The 17,540-nt window shown below is 36.6% G+C and overlaps 1 pseudogene; it reads right to left on the bottom strand.

Moving 5' to 3' along the window:
• Positions 2,638–3,472, bottom strand: EEF1GP2 (eukaryotic translation elongation factor 1 gamma pseudogene 2; annotated as a pseudogene).

The following is a 17,540-nucleotide window of genomic DNA, read 5'->3' as shown; positions in this document are numbered from 1 at the left end:
TGTAATTAATACATAATTAAATAAATGCATAATTAATTAAATACATAATATATAACCATCCTTATAAGTAAAGTTCAAATGCCCCATGTTCTATGAAGCTTTTTTAAAATCACATTGTCCCAAACTATAAACATCCCTAATGTTTTATTTTTGATTTTTTTAAATTCCTTGCATGATCTAGTTGCGTATTTGTCCCCTTCAAATCTCATGTTGAAATTTGATCCTTAATGTTGGAGATGGGGCCTGGTAGAAGGTGTTTGGGTCATGGAGGCAGATCTGTCATGAACTGTCCTCACGATAATGAAGGAGTTCTTGCTCTATTCATTTCTGTGAGATTTGACTGTTAAAAGGAGCCTGGCTCCTCCTCCTCTCCCTCCTCTCTCACCATGTGATACTTGCTCCCCTGCACCTTCCCGCATGAGTGGAAGCTTCCTAAGGCCCTCACTGGAAGCAGATGCTGGTGTCATGCTTCTTGTACAGCCTGCAAAGCTGCGAGCCAAATAAACTTCTTTCCTTTTTAATTACAGCCTCAGGTATTCCTTTGTAACAACACAAACAGACTAAAGTCCTGGCATGTATAAACAATGCTCTGTTTTTAAAAAAATTGACATTTAATAAGCATTTGTTTTAAAAGGAGAAAAGTGGACAAGTATATTCATATCTGATATTCTAGGAAATAGGGAAAGTTAAAATAATTCCTGTAAATAGCTAACGTAGACCTCAAATCTGTACCTTTCTCCAAGTCACACTACTATTAATATTGATTCTCAATTAATACACATGAACGATTCCCTTATTTCTCTCTCTTTTCCCTTACACCCACCATATGAATAATGCACCAAAATGACCATCTGATCATGTCTCACACCCACTCCAAACACATTGAGGAGACTTTGCTGTCAAATGAATATAATTGATTTTTTTTTGAGATGATTCTCGCCCTGTCTCCCAGGCTGGAGTGCATGATCTCAGCTCACTGCAACCTCTGCTTTCTGGGTTCAAGTGGTTCTCCTGCCTCAGCTTACCGAGTAGCTGGAATTACAGGCAAGCACCACGGCGCCCAGCTAATTTTTGTATTTTTGTGGAGAGGGGGTTTCACTATGTTGGCCAGGCTGATCTCAAACTCCTGACCTCAGATGATCCACAAACAGACTAAAGTCTCTGAATATATTCCATAAAATCCAATAATCCTTCAACTATCAGATCAAATTCCACCTTCTCCATTCTGGATGAATAGGGACACCTTGGAGTGAATTCAAAAAAGTAGCAACAATGATAGAGAGGGGTCTTAAAAGCATGCTCTTTAAGGAAAGTTTGAAGAAATTGAGATGCTTACCGTGGAGGGGAGAAGATTTAATGATTGGAGAGCTATAATGGGAAAATAGATTACACTTATTGGCCAGGTCCAAGAGCAATAACTAAGGCCAATGCTTGGGAATTACAGAAAGACACTTTCAGCCAAAACGATTAAGAAATATTTCAGCAATCAAAGACTGGTAGAATCTTTCTTGTATTTTTAATTAAAAATTCTTTTTTAATTGAAAAAGAATTCTTGTTTAATTACAGAATTCTTCTTTAATTAAAAATAATTGTTTTTTACTTGAAAATTAAATTAAAATTCTTCTCAATTAGAAAAGAATCTTGTAATTGAAAAGAATGCTTTTTCAATTAAATAATTCTTTTTTAATTGTACTTTTTTCAATTAAAAATGGAAAAATTTTAGATCTATTATATGTTAACATATTCTCTGTGCCAAAGGCTATGCTATTTTCTGTTTACATGCATCATCATATGTGAGTCTTTTAACAGGTCTGAGAGCTAGGTGTTATAATTCCCATTTCACATTAAAAAAAAAAAAAAGACTCTTAGCTTAAATTCCTTGTCCAAGATATCACAGTCAAAGATTTGGCAGAGGCAGCATCCAAACCAACTTTCGTCTGATTTCAGAGTCCATGCTATCTAGCACCTGGTAAGTTGCCCTCGTGAACCACTCACCTTTGGAAGTGTGAAAACAAAATCTGGATTACACTCAGGGAAACAATAGAATGGGGTTCTAAATAGCTGATGAGCCGTTGAACGAAAACATCTTTTTATTGTCAATGTTCAGTTTCCTTTAATGATTCCCATCTTCGTGAAGGGCAAGTGCAGGCTGCTTGGCAATGGTAAAAAAAAATATTCTCTTGGAGATCTTGTGCTGACTGAAGGCTTTGCCCAAATGCTTGAAGACCCCCTCCCAGGAAAAGTACTCTCCAACCAGTGTCTGGGCCTCTTTGCTTCCAGGATCCAGTTTCTGCCTTTTATATGACTCGGAGTCCATCTGCCAATCTGGACTCAGCAGAAAGGCAAGCTCCTGGCCTTGGAAGACCCAGACTCAAGAAATGGAGCTGCTATTGTTGACTCTAAAGAGGATGACACTAGCAAAGACATGTTCTTCAGCTCGTCCAATCGCTGGAACATTCCAGTGATGAGACTGCAACTCATGAAGGTCTGGTGAGTTCTTCAGGGAAGCGATACTCAGAGTACCTCAGGGACCAGCCGTCTTTATCAAAGTGCTCTCCAAAACATGTCATTGCCTCAGAGTGTGTCCTCGATGGAGTACTTGTGCTTAAATTCATCCAACTCAAAGGTGTTCTTGGGCTGCTCACATTCCTTCATCTCCGCTTAAGGAGCAGGGGTGGCCACCTTTTTCTCCTCCTTCCGCTCAGCCTGGGGCTTCTGCTTCTCTTCCCGTGAACCTTTCTCTTTCCGTGGAGTGTCCTTTTTAGGCTGGCTCTCTGCAAATATTTTAGCATCAAAGTGGGCCATGTTCTCACACAGTTTCATTTCCACCCAAGACAGCCTGGAACTGGGGCTGGTAAATGTAGGTGAGGAACCAGCAGTTGATAATGGGAATGGCCTGGTAGAAAGAAGGCTCTAGAACCTACCTGCTTATAGAGTCACAACAAGGTGCAGATAACTATGATGTCAGCCAATGTCACTCACTCACCCACCAGAAAAAGTCTTCATCTTCAAGTGAGCATCTAGCAGCCCCAGACTTCACCTCACCTCTTCCCCTGCATCCTGGGTGGCCTGTTTGTCATGGTGCATTTTGCCCAAGGTGGGAACACCCTGGTACTGGCTATCATCAGCAAAGTTCACCCACTGCACAGCCTGGGCTGCTGCCTCTGGAGCACTTCCCCACAGCTCCTCATTGCTCACATAGGTGGCAATAGCATTGCTCTCCCACACAGAGAATCCATCATCACCCTTAAATGCTAGAACCTTGTGGGAAGGAAATTCAGGGGTACAGTTGGTTTGGCCAAAGTAAAAGTGAGCGTAGAGGACGCGAATCTGAGCCCCGCATTACCAAGCAGAATGAGGGCCTGCTCATCATACACCCGCCCTCCGGTTTTCAGGACATGTGTTCAGGCTCCCAGCTGCCTTGGTGATTTCGCAGAGAAAGCGAGTAGGGTTCTCCACGCTGCAGCAAAGTAAGCAAAGTAAACGAAAACATCTTTTTTTTTTAATTTTTTTTTTTTGAGACAGAGTTTCACTCTTGTCGCCCAGGCTGGTGGAATGCAATGGCACGATCTCAGCTCACAGCAACCTCCGCCTCCCGGGTTCAAGCGATTCTCCTGTCTCAGCCTCCCGAGTAGCTGGGATTACAGGCACCTGCCACCACGCCCAGCTAATTTTTGTATTTTTAGTAGATACGGGGCTTCACTATGTTGGCCAGGCTGGTCTCAATCTCTTGATCTCAGGTGATCCACCCGCCTCCGCCTCCCAAATTACTTGGATACGGGCATGAGCCACAGACCCGGTGGAAAACATTTTTGAGAACGATTACAACTGTGGGCTTTTAGCCTTCCCAATAACATGAGAACTTTAAGTTTGGAGTAGTTTTACAACATTCAGAGATGAGTTTAAGAGGACAGTTACGATGGAAGCAGAAGAATTAGCAAAAGCAGAGTATGATTTCTCCCTTTCTCCTACGTACGCCAGCATTACAGATGTATTTTATTCTGCTTTATGTTGAAGTTCTTTACATTTGAGGTACTTCAAATGTACCTCATTTGAAGTGGACAGGGGACATCAACACACATGTTTCACAGATATGCAAGACCTTGGAGAGATGTGGAACCTGATGGAATCTATTTCCTTGCCTTCTGCTACCTCCAGGCACCAATGTAATGAGGCTGATCCCACCGTTACACTGACAATTTTCCTGTAGGTGACTAAAGACTTCCTTGTTTCTAGATGAGTAAAGCAACCCAAACCTTATCTTCCTAGATCTCTAAGCAGTAGCCAACACAGCAGAACAGTTCCTCTTTTCATAAACTCTCTCTTTCCTTCATTTCTATGGGATCCAAGTATCCTCTTTTTTCTTTTTTCTCTTGAGTAGCCGTTTTGAAATTTCTCCTGCAGGGCTTTCTTGCTATGTGTGGTCCTCAAGCACCTACCTAAGTACTCTTCTAATTCTACCCACTATCCCTGGAGAGTCTCATCTGCTCTATGGCTTTTTTTTTTCCTCCATTTGTAAAATGATGACCCCGAATCCATCTCTCAAGTAAAGTCTTCCCTTCTGGGCTTAAGGTTTATATTTACTCATACAAAATTCTTAATTGCCAATCATCTCCAATGTAAATGTCTCAGAATCACTTTAAATTCAACCTGTCCAATACGGAACCCATGATCTTTCCCTTGTCCCCAGCTCTCTTCACTGGGTATCCACAACGCTGAGTAATATACCACAACCACACGGCCACCAAAGACAGAAACATACTTGACATCTCCCTGGGCCTCACACAACAAATCCAGTCATCACTGACACCTGTCAATGGGACTGACTGAATGTCATTCAAATCTCGTAGTTCTCTATTGAAATGGCAATGCTTCAGGGAGGCACTTTGTAATTCTATGGAGGACTTAATTTCCTGGTGGAAATTAAAATACATACTATATTAAATTACATATTATATTATTATATTAAAATACATATTATATTATTATTTATTTTAATTCTTATTTTAAAATAAGATTATATTTAAATATTAAATACATATTAAAATACATATTATATTATTAAATTAAAATACATATTAAAATACATATTATATTAAAATACATATTATATTATTAAGATACATACTATATTATACATTTATTTATTTATTACCTGTATTAAAATACATATTATATTATTTATTTTAATTCTTGTTTTATTTTTAATTTTTTATGGACTTCTGAAATTATGTGTTAGTAGGATATTTTATCTACTAATTTTAATAGAATGGAAGGTATATTACAAAATATATGTCAAGATTGCAGCATTAGGGCTAATAAAGTTACAAAAACTTACTGCTCAAGTCCATCCACTTGGTTACATTACCACTGGCTCCAACCCCATCTCCAAGCACTATCATTATGGTCATTATTATAACAATGTGATTATAATGATAATAATGATTTCCTAAATGGTCTCTTTGCCTTCAGTGTTGGTTCACTCTCATTTTCTACTACCAATTAAAGAAACTGGAAAATAAAATCTGATCATGTCACTTCTCTATTTAAAACCCTTGCATATTGCTGTTAGAAAAAGTCCCAGCCATTTTAAAAACTTCTCAGAATTCTGGATGAGTCAAGCCCTAGATATTTTTCAGTTTTTTTTTATCCTGTTCCGTGACACTTTACTTCAAGTCCCTGTCCTACTGAACTACTTAAGTTTCTCATTTATTGTCATGCTTTTTCCTACCTGTAAATCTTTGCCTAACACCTACTTATCTCTCACATCTCAGCATAGATAACTTTCCTCTGGGAGATTTCTTTGGTCTTCCTTTATCTGCCCACAATATTCTATTGTAGCAATTACGATGCTGAAGCATAATTCCCTGCTGAATTTTTTCGCTCCCCCTGACTAAAATGTAGGTTCCACGGTGGCAGGGATAGTGCCTATCCAATCTCCTGTTATATCTCTTGTGCACAGTATATTTCCTGACACTTTGCAGTTACAAAATATCTGTCGATAAATGCATAAATTAAGGAATAGATAAATAAGTATATGAACAGTAACCGGGTTCTCATTTTTCAGACTGGAACCCTGTTAGACGCATTTTTATTAATGGTTTTAGTATCAGATAGCAGTGAGTTTAAGTCCTAGCTCTGCCACTTACTAGTAGATTGACAATAGGGTAGTGAATTAAAATGTTCACGCCTTTGTTTTATTGTGTCTTTGCTGCTGTTAGTTTTTTTTCTTTTTAATAATTTGCAAAATGAGGATAATTACATCCACAATGACCTACATTTGTGGGTAGGGTAATTGTAAAGAATGCGTGAGTTCCCACCTGGGAGCAGGCATTACGAATGGGAATTATTTTTGTTATACTCTATTGAGCTGTTCAATCAAGAGACACAACAGGATACCTGATAGTGTACAAGATGTTTGGGGTTTTTGTTTTTTTAAATTCATCTTCGGGCTCTGGGTTGCTGTTGATGGCAGCTGTTCAGAGATTAGTCATAAACAGCTTGGTGAAGGAGGCATGAGAAAGATAAAGGGTGGTGGCCTGATTACCTCTAGCCATCCTCATGCACAAACACACACCTACCTGTCATGTATGGAAATGTCTCAGAATGTGGGCCCAGCCCAGATCTCAACAAAAGCATAGGTTTCAAAGATTGAGGGAACATAAAAGCAACCTCAGAAATCACCTCTTCAGTCTTCACAGAATGCCAGTGCCAGAAGAAACTCTAGTCATCATCCCATCCAAATTTATCATTGGAAAATGAAGAAACTTGGACGTAGCAAGGGGGAAAAGAGGTATTCAAGATTACGCAGAACGTTCACTGCAGAGATGGCATGTAAACATAACTACCGCTTCACATGTAGTCTAATCACTACCACCACCATCAACAAGGCTATTATAAATATGTTTTTTCCTTTATTAGGGTATAATTTACACATAGCTAAACATCAAGGTATATTTTACATACAGTTTAAATTTACCCTTTAAAGTAAGTTCTGTGAGTTTTGTCAAACACAAACAATTTTGTCACCAGACTATATACTCACGACACAAAATGTCCACCATCCAAAAGAATTCCTTTGTGCTCATTTGTAGTAAGCCTTCCCCTCCCTGCTCAGCCCCTAACCACCAAAGTTCTGCTTTTTGTTGCTACAGTTTTGCTTTTTGAAAACATTGTATGAATGAAATTAGAATTATACAGTTACAGCATTTTGAGTCTGGCTCCTACCACTTGGAATAATACTTTGAAATTCATTCTTGGTGTTGCACAGATTAGTGATTCATTCCTAATGGTGCTGAGTAATATCTTATTATGTGGACGTACTAGAGCTTATGTTTAGGGCTATTACAGCCACTATAAACATTCATCTGTGGTTTTTGTGTAAATGTAAGTATTGATTTCACTTTAGTATATATCTAAGAGTGAGATTGCTGGGTAAATACTTATATGGTTATACAATAAGTATACATACTGCCAAACTATTTTCTTATGTTACATTCCCACCAACAAGGTATGAGAGTTTTAGTTTCTCTATATACTCTTTAGCACTTGCTATTTTTTTATTTTGTTTTTGTTCTTTTAGCTTTTTAAATTTTGTTTTTAATGTTTTAGTTTTAGATAGGTGGGTAGCAATATCTCATTATGGTTTTGATTTTCATTTCTCTAATGTCAAATGGTGCAGATTATCTTTTCATATACTTGTCCTCCACATGTCTACTCTGAATTTCTATTCAAATATTTTGTGCCTTTTGTTTAAATTGGGTTGTTTTCATATTACTTAGTTTTGAAACCATAATTTATGTATACTGGTTCCAAATCTTTTAACAGATATAGAGTTTTTTCCTAATCTGTGGTTTATCTTTGCTGTTTAACAGTGTATTTCTGTCTGTGACAATCATGTTTTTGGTATTATGTCTAAGAAACCTTTATCTAATCCAAGGATACAAATTTTTCCCTCTATATTTTTTTCAAGAAATTTTAGAGTATAAGTTTTTACATTTAGGACTGTGACCCATTTTGAGTTACTTTTTATATAACAATATATAGATCAACATTTATTCCTTATTTCTTTTTGTCCAATTGCTTCCCATTATGTATCGAAAGCGTTATCTTTTCTTCATTGGTTGACCTGTGCACCTTCATTGCAAAGCAATTGACCATACAAATGTAAGTATATTTCTGGACTGCCTTCTGTTCCATCAATATGCCTAGCCTTTCTCCAATATAATACTGTCTTAATCATTGAGCTTTATGGAAGCCTTGATAATAGTTTGAGTGGTGCCTCAGACTTCGTTCTACATGGTTTTATTGTTTTCATTTTTTTTGTTATTCTAGTTATTTGCCTTTCCGTTTAATATTAAAATTAGTTTGCTTGTTTTTATACAAAATCATGCTAGAATTATGATTAGATCTCTGTTGAATCTATAGATCACATTAGGAAGAGTCAACATCTTCTAATTCATGAATACAATAAATATCTTCATTTATTTAGGGGTCATTTTTTACTTCTTTTAACAGAACTGTATAGTTATAAGCAAACATAATTTGTAGTTATTTTGTTAGACATATATCTAAGAATTTTATGGTTTTGGTGTTATTAGAAAAGGCGCATTTTAATTCCAATTTCCAATTGTTCTGTGCAAGTATGTAGAAATGCAATTGATTTTTGTAGGTTAACCATGTATCCTTCAAACTTGTTAAATGCACTTATTATTTCTAATAGCATTTTTGTAGATTCTTTGAGATTTTCCACATAGCCAGTCACGCCTTCTGTAAATACAGACAGTTTTACCTCTCCCTTTTCCATCCTCTTACTTCTTTTTCTTCCATTATTGCACTAGTAAGGACCTTCCCTTCAACATCAAAAAGGAATAGGGAGAGAGGATATTTGTGTCTTGTGCTTGATCCAAGAGGAATGCATTAATCTTTCATCATTAAGAGTGATGTTAAAATCTTTAAGCATGAGTGTTTTATAGATGTTCCTTATCAAGTAGAGGAATTTCCCTTCTATTGCTAGTCTTCTGAGAGGTATATGCATAAAGACATACTATTTTATATATATGTATATAACTATATATGTATATTATATAATAGATACTGAATCTTGTCAAATGACTTTTCTGTATCTATTGAAATGATTATATGCTTTTTCATCTTTAATCTGACCATATGATAAATTGAATTTATTGATTTTTCAAATGTTGAATAAGATTCGCATTTCAGATATAAACCCTACTTAGTTGATTTGCTAGTACTTTTGGGGGGATTTTTATTTTTATGTTTCTGAGGGATATTAATTTGTAATTGTCTTGTCATTTCTCATTCTGATTTTGGCCTCAGGGTAATGTTGGCCTCCCAAAATGATTGGGCCAATAAGCTCAATGAAGTATGATCAATATCATTAGCCATTAGGGAAAAGCACATCAAAAGCAAAATTATATACCACTCCATACCTACTATGATGACTAGAATAAAAAGGATGCAATAACAAGGGTAGGTTATAATATGGAGAAACTGGAATTCTCTTAAATTGCTAGTGGGAATGTGAAATAGTGTAGATGCTTTGAAGAGTCTGGAAGTTTCTCACAAGTTTAAAACGAGTTATCATATGACCCAGCAATTCCATTCCTATGTGTATACCCATGAAAAATGAAAATATATGTTCATTCATACACTTATCCAGGAATGTTCACAGTAGCATTATTCATAATAGCCAAATAGTAGTAGAACAAACCAAGTGTTTATCAACAGATGAATAGATAAATAAAATGTGGTATATCTATACACTGGAATATTATTTAGCAGTAATAAAGAATGAAGTACTGATACATACTATTACGCAGAAGAACCTTGAAAACATGATAAATAAAAGAAGCTGGACGCAAAAAGCCACATATTGTATGATTTGTTTTATATAAAATGTCAGTGGCAGAGGTGATTCCAGAGCCCCACTGGAACAATAGCCAAATCTCAAGCCAAGGAATCAGATGTAAACAAGGAAGGCAGTTAAGAGTCCAGTGGCTTTTGTTTTTCTAGCAGCTGGAGCCATGGCTGAGGGTGGAGGCAACATTTCAAAACAGGTACTATGTCATGCCTCACTTTGGTACATAGGATGGAGTGAAGGGAACATTTTACAAAATTATAAATTAATTACATGGAAATAGTGACTCCCACCTAAATTAAGAAGGCCATAGTACCAAATTAATAGTGTAAATATTTCTATGCCAATTATGCATAATTTATCTATGCCAGATAAGTGTATAATAATAGCTAAATTACAAGGTTTTTGTGGGACCAAATGAGGTAATAAATACATAATTGACATGAAAGCTATAAATTGTCAAACTATAAATCGAAAACTATAAATCGAAGAGTAACTGTGATCAATTAAAGTAGGTTTATCTACTGAGTCAATAATAGAGGTAACACAGATCTGTAAACAAACAGTCAGTTAATCCAAAAGTAGGCCAAAAGATGGAAAATAAAACATCTAGCAACATTGTAGATTTAAAAGCAATTATATTAATAATTACATTAATGTAAGCAATCTAATCACATTAATTATAAAACAGAGATAGATTATGCTGTTTACAAAAAAATCCACTTTAAATATAAAAACATAGATGAGAGTAAGTGAATTCAAAAAGATTTATCATTAAACACACACAAAAAACTTGGAATGGTTATATTAACATGAGAACAGATAGTATTCAGAACAAAGAATACTATCAGAGATAAAAAAGAACATTGCGGCAGGGCACGGCGGCTCATGTTTGTAATCCTAGCACTTTGGGAGGCAGAGGCGGGCGGATTGCCTGAGCTCAGGAGTTCAAGACCAGCATCGGCAACACGGTGAAATCCCGTCTCTACTAAAATACGAAAAATTAGATCGTCTCTACTAAAATACAAAAACTTAGCCACTGTCTACTAAAATACAAAAAAGTAGCCAGGCGTGGCGGGGTGCGCCTGTAGTCCCAGCTACTCGGGAGGCTGAGGCAGGAGAATTGCTTGAACCCCGGGGGTGGAGGTTGCAATGAGCCTAGATCGCGCCATAGCCCTCCACTCCAGCGTGGGTGACAAAGTGAGACTCCATCTCCAACAACAAAAAAAAAAAACCAAACAAACAAAAAAAAAGGAACACTGCATAATCAGAAAGGAGTCAATTAACTAAGAAAACATAACAATCCTATATGTATAAGCAAGTAACAATAGATTCTCAAATCTACAAAGTAAAATTTGACAGACAAGAAAAGAGAAGTATACAAATTTAAAATTCTAGTTGGAGACTTCAAAACTAGTCTCTCAGTGATTGATAGAATAAACAGATAGAAAATCAGTAAAGATAAAGAAAATCTGATTATCACAATTAATGAAAAATGACCTAATTAACTTTTATAAAATACTCCAACTTAAATATAAATTTTAGTATGTGCAGAGGAAACATTAATCAGGATAGACTTTATGGAGTCATTCAACCAACCTTAACAAATTTAACAAAATTGAAATGATGCAAAGAATGCTTTCGTAACTTAATGGCAGTGGCAGATATATAAACAATAACTCATGATTTAATATAATAGAGATGTGTGCACAGTGAGCACACAGGAAAAGTGATTAATTGTACCATGGATTAAGTCAGGGTTGTGGTTACAATGTCTTTCCGAAGGATTTAATGTTTGAAGGATGAATTGGTGGGGATGAATTGGTTCAAGCAGAACAAGTAGAGTGATAAAATAAGTCAAGTTCTGGAGCATGCCTGGTAAGGTAAAACAGGAGGTAACATGGTTAGAGAGTGGTGGGAGGCGATAATGCAAATAGTCAGCATTTGTTAAACATACATGATGCTAAACTTTGTATAGCATGACTTCATTTATAATTTATTTATTTCATTAATATTTTATTTCAGATTTATTAAAATTTTTGGGACTGATACTTTTATTATCTTTATATTGAAGATAGAGAACTAAAGTTTAGAGAGTATAAGCTAACTGCCAAATCACATTGTTAGCAGCTGAGAAGATATTAAATTATTCAACAACTAGGGTGCAAACACCAACCCAGCCTAGTAGACTGGATATGAGCATCCCAGTACATGCCCAGTAAATACCAGCCCTGGTGAAGTCAGAAATTGAATGCAGGCTACCTGACTCTAGAACTCATGCATTAAAATTATACTACTCCTAAAGTGAAGTTAGAGATATTGATTGTGAAAGAAGTATGAAAGGCCTTATTTATATGCAATCAGGAGCCACAGAAATTATTAGAGAAATGACAGAGGATGTAAACATAATTATGTTATAGAGTGATAAAAATGGCAGCAATGTGGAAGACAGCCTGGAATGGGGAGAGGCAAACATCAGAGAGACTTTAGATTGTTACTGCAAGAGTCAAGACGAAGCCCCAAACTGTGACTCTTATTGTGGACGTGAAAGAAGTTGATAAATTTTAAGGATATTTAAGAGGAAAATTGATAGCACTTTGTGAGAAAATCGGTTCTGTGATAATAAAAGGTAAAGAAAATTCACATTTCTAACATAATTTGATGCATGGCAATGTCCTTATCTGAAATTCTAATTAGGGAACAGGAAGAGAGAAAAAATTCCTAGCTAAGAGTTTAAATACTTAATGATTTTTTACTCTCCACTCCCAAACATTCTGTTCCTTCTCTCTTCTCTTTCCCCTCCATTTTTTTCCTTCCAACATGCTCATTAATTAAAACAAATTTTGAGATTAAGTTATTTCACTTCAATCTTCACTTCTAATAACACTGAAGAATTTGAGGTTCATTCCTAGAAATATGCAATGCTCTTCCATGCTTCTGTGTCTTCACAGATGTCATTCCTCCTACCTGAGGTGTCTTCTCCACACCTTGGTTGCATAGTAAACACCTACACAATCACTTTTCAAGGCCCAAACAATGATTTGTCTGTGACCCCCTCCCGCAGGCAACGTTAACCACTCCCTGTTAGTCTTCTATAGGAATCTGTTCACAACTCCATTAGCATTTCTCATATTTAAATTGCAATTATTTGGTTACGTGTTTGCCTCCTCAACAAAGGTAGGTCAGGGACTGTTGTTTTGTATTTTCTTGTCCCCAGTGTCTGGCAGAGTACCTGGCAAATAGTATAAGCTCAATAAATAAATGTTCACTGAAAAAGTAACTGTTAAATGGATCTATGGCATGAAGATTGACTAATGTATAAGCTACATAGAGGAAGGTGATTAGGGTAACAAAGAGTGTGACCACTCCTTAGCATGTAGACACCATGGGAATGGCACCCCTAGCTGAAGCCACATGCATCCCTTCCAAGACTAGTCTGAAACTTTAGCTGGAATGAACCAAGAACAAGAGAGGGTTTTATGATTTCTTTATGAGGCTTTCAAGGAGGAAACATATTCCAGATGTGATGTTAAAGAGGAACTAGAGCCCTTTAATGACTTCTAGTTTCCTCATTTGATTTCAACTTCTCACATACTATTCTTTAATCCTTTATGTAACCTCTCTCAGTCCTATTCTGCACTCCCTGATCACGGGTTTTTTAATAAGAGAAGAATTATGAGGGCTTCTCCAGGTAGATTCACAAATAAAAGTACCAGATGCCCGGTTACATTTAAATTTCAGCTAAAAATGTAAGAAAAAATTAATTTCAGCTAAACAACAAATAATTTTTTAGTATAAGAATTCCTGTGAAATATTTGGTATATATTTATCCTAAAAAATTCCTCATTGTTATCTGAAATTCACATTTAATTGGGCATCATGTATTTTATCCTACAGCCCTATCTCCAGTCCTATTTCTGCCGAGGATAAAAAAGACACCGTGTAAACTGCATGTTTGCTATATCAAACTGAGCAAAAATATAGTGAATGAAATAGGCCAGAACTTTATTCAGAGGCTAATGAAAAAAAGCAGAGTTGGCACAGATGAATCTGTGGGCAAACAGGTTGGTAACATGGTGTTCCTCGCTTGGCCCAGGCATTTTGCCAGTAGCAACCATGAGCATATGCCAGTGCAACTTAACAGAATAGCTGAAAGCAGGAACATTGGAATCACACGTTCGTGTGTCCAATTCCCTGCTCTGGCTCGTATATAATTTGTAACCTTGGGAAAACTCCTCTAAGCTTAAATTTCCTTGTATAAAATGAGGAAATGGTAGCCTCTCAACAATTGTATTGATACATTGTATCTAATTCAGCACCTGACCAGAGGAGGCAGCCTATTATTATTATTATTAGTGGTGGTGGTGGTGGTGGTGGTGGTGGTGGTGGTGGTGGTGGTGGTGGTCCTAAAATGTCTCTCTCCCTCCTCTAAGACAACTCAATGTAGAATAGAATAGAATAGAATAGAATAGAATAGAATAGAATAGAATAGAATAGAATAGAATAGAATAGACAAGTTTATTATTTATTTTTCACTTAGTATTTGCAAGGCACTGTGCTAGTTTTACAAATTTTCTTATCTAATCTTTATAACAACACCAAGAGGTATCATTATTCCTATTTTATGGACACTGGATCCAAAGCACAGAGAAATTAAAAATATCTTAAGGTTACAGTGTCACACAGCTCGTAAGGGGCAAATCTGAAATTCAAACTCAGTTCTGTGTGATCCCAAAACCTGTGCTTTTAACACTAATGCATACATTGAAATCTCTCCATGAGATTGCCAACCCAAATTGTAATTCTTTTCTACCTTGAGAAAAAAAACCACTCAGATGATTTTTAATTAAGTCTGGAAAAGTCTGTAGGAATTAAAACATTTCTTATTTCCTTCATTCCTATACCTTCTTCCCAAGCTAGAATAGTGTTGTAGAAGAAGGTTCTCTTTTTCTTCCCAGCTTGGATAAAACCCTCTTTCATAATCTCAGTTTCTCATCTAACCTAAAGCAAATTCACTTGTTTATGGCAATGGAAGATAAATCACAGCTTTTTAACTGTTATTTATACGGCCAACATTAAGGGCTCTTTACAGTTATCAGGTGTTTCATTTTTATCTCCTATATTCTTACAATGGTGCTGATATATAGGCAGAAATTTATATTATGTCCCTTTACAGATGTAGAAACTGAGACCCACAGGGTACCTGTCATTTGCCAGAGTCACACAGATAATAACCAAAAGAACCTGGTTCCTCTTCTCAGAATTGTTTATTAGCTCATTGATTCAATGCATATTTGTTGGGTATCTTTTACAAACAAAGCACTATCCTAGACAGCAAAGCCATCTCCCTGAACAAGACTGATCAGAATGCTTCCCTTTGAGATGTTAACATTCCTTGGAAAGAGAGACATTAAATCATCAAAAATTAAGTGCTGAGAAGAAAGAATACAGAGTGTAGAAAACTTAATCACATAGGGATCTGAATTGGATTAGAGAGTCATAGAAGTTTTCACCAAAGACAAGACATTTTAGCTGAGACCTGAAGCTATGAGGAACAAACCAAGAGGAGAGAAAGAATAAGAACAAGAAGCAGGGAAAACGGAGGGTATTGAATCAGGACCATGCAATGAGCTAGTGTTACTGACAGGAATCGAGGCCAGCTATCCTGACACTCAGGACAGTGCTAGCTTTTTGACACCAGACCTCCAAAAGCAGCTGATTTAGGATTTGTCTGCTTGCCCTGTCCAGCTGCTATTCCTAAGAAGCCAGCAAATTTCTGTCTTAAGTTGCTGTATCTACAGCCTGCTCTTATCTATAGAGTGCCCTTGTGATGATTAGAAAAATATGTACCCTTTCCCAGGCAAACACAGCAATGTGTCAGGATCCATGGCCTAACTGATAGAGGACACTTGAATGTCATTCCCCTACTAGCCTCTTGGACAATCACAGTGCTCAGTCATCAGTAGTGACCCTGATGACATAAATCTACCTCAATGAAGGCCTTTTAATGTCTAGATTTTATTAGAGACTCTGGCCTTGTCTGTCCTATACAAACAGTGGTGATCTAGAGTCTAGAGTCTAGATTCAACCCTTTGTGCAAGAGAGACAAGACCAGTGTTTTCCTGAGAAGATACGTTGGGAAGGCCTTGGAAGGCCACACCACACAAGGTGCAACAGAGCTGCCTGATTATGTTCCAGAAGTGGTTTGGTGCCTTGTGAAGAGTATAACTAGTAAGTAAGAAACATTGCCCTAGCCTTGGCTCTGAGATGCTGGATGAACCTCCTTTTGTCCATACTTTAGTTAACTTTCCCATTTATAAAATGGTATTTTGACACATGCAAAGTATAAGTATTGGTAAATCAATAAGTTTAGGTATTCCCAAGTCCACATTCCAATTAAATGAATTTATAGCATTCCTCAGGATAACCAATATCATCTAGACTTGAACCAAACTTTATTCTCTTGCGTGTATTGCAAAGGGAGATTATTTTACATCTGAAATACATAGCAGCATCTCAAATCCAACATTCTGTTTCACCAAGTGCAAATATATTTAATCCAGTTAATTATTTCTTTTAAAAAAAAAAAGATGGTAAGGTAGACTTTATTCAAGGGGAACCATGGTGATGGGTATGGGTATAGAGACCAAGGCAATGGAGTCTGGCAGTCGGGGAGAAAGACTGGTCTTAATCAATTCCCAGATTATTTTTTCTTCTGCTGCTGTTTTTTTGTTTTGTTTTGTTTTGTTTTGTTTTGTGTGTGTGTGTGTATGTATGTGTTTTGGTATTTGCCATGTGCCTCAGTTAATATGTATTCAACTCTAAAAAAGATAGTTTTGCCTTCGAGAAGCCTACAGCCTATTGGTAAAGACATTTAAAAAGGACCTAGCAGGTACATCAGAGGATCATCTATCTCTATTTGGAAAAACCGGAACAAACTTTCAGAGGAGGTGAAGTCAAAGGTGAGACCAAGACCAGGCAATAGAGTAGGCTCCATGAGGATTCAGCAGTAATAAAACATTCTTCTCTTGAGACCTACAGGCTAGGAATCAACCTAAGTGTCCATCAACAGGTGAATAGAAAAAGAAACCATGATATGTATACACTGGAATACTATTTACTATAGAGCCTTAAAAAAGAAGGAAATTCTATCATTTGCAACACAGTTGAACCTGGAGGACATGATGTTACATGAAATAAACCAGGCACTGAAAGACAAAGAAAGACAAATACATACCACATGATCTCATTTACATGCAGACTCTAAACAAGATGAACTCACAGAGGCAAAGAGTAGAATGATAGTTACCAGAGACCGGGAGTTGGGTAGTGGGAGGGATTGGGGAGATGTTGGTCAAAAGATATAAAATTTGAGCTAAATAGGAGGAATGAGTTTGAGACATCTATTTTACATCATGGTGGCTATAGTTAATAACATTGTATTGTATACTTGAAAATTGCTAAGAGAGCAGATTTTAAGTGTTCTCGCCACACAAAAAAAGATAAGTATGAGTAGTCTGGGTATTAAATAGCCAGATATAGCCTTTGCACAATATATGCATATTTCAAAACATCATATTGTGCACCACGAATATGTACAATATTTTGCCAATAAACAAATAAGTGGATCCACAAGCTGAAAGAGAAGAGAGCTGTTAAA

Source organism: Homo sapiens, chromosome 5 (assembly GCF_000001405.40).
Source record: "Homo sapiens chromosome 5, GRCh38.p14 Primary Assembly".
In the NCBI taxonomy this organism is placed as follows: domain Eukaryota; kingdom Metazoa; phylum Chordata; class Mammalia; order Primates; family Hominidae; genus Homo; species Homo sapiens.
This window is presented reverse-complemented; position numbering and strand designations above follow the sequence as displayed.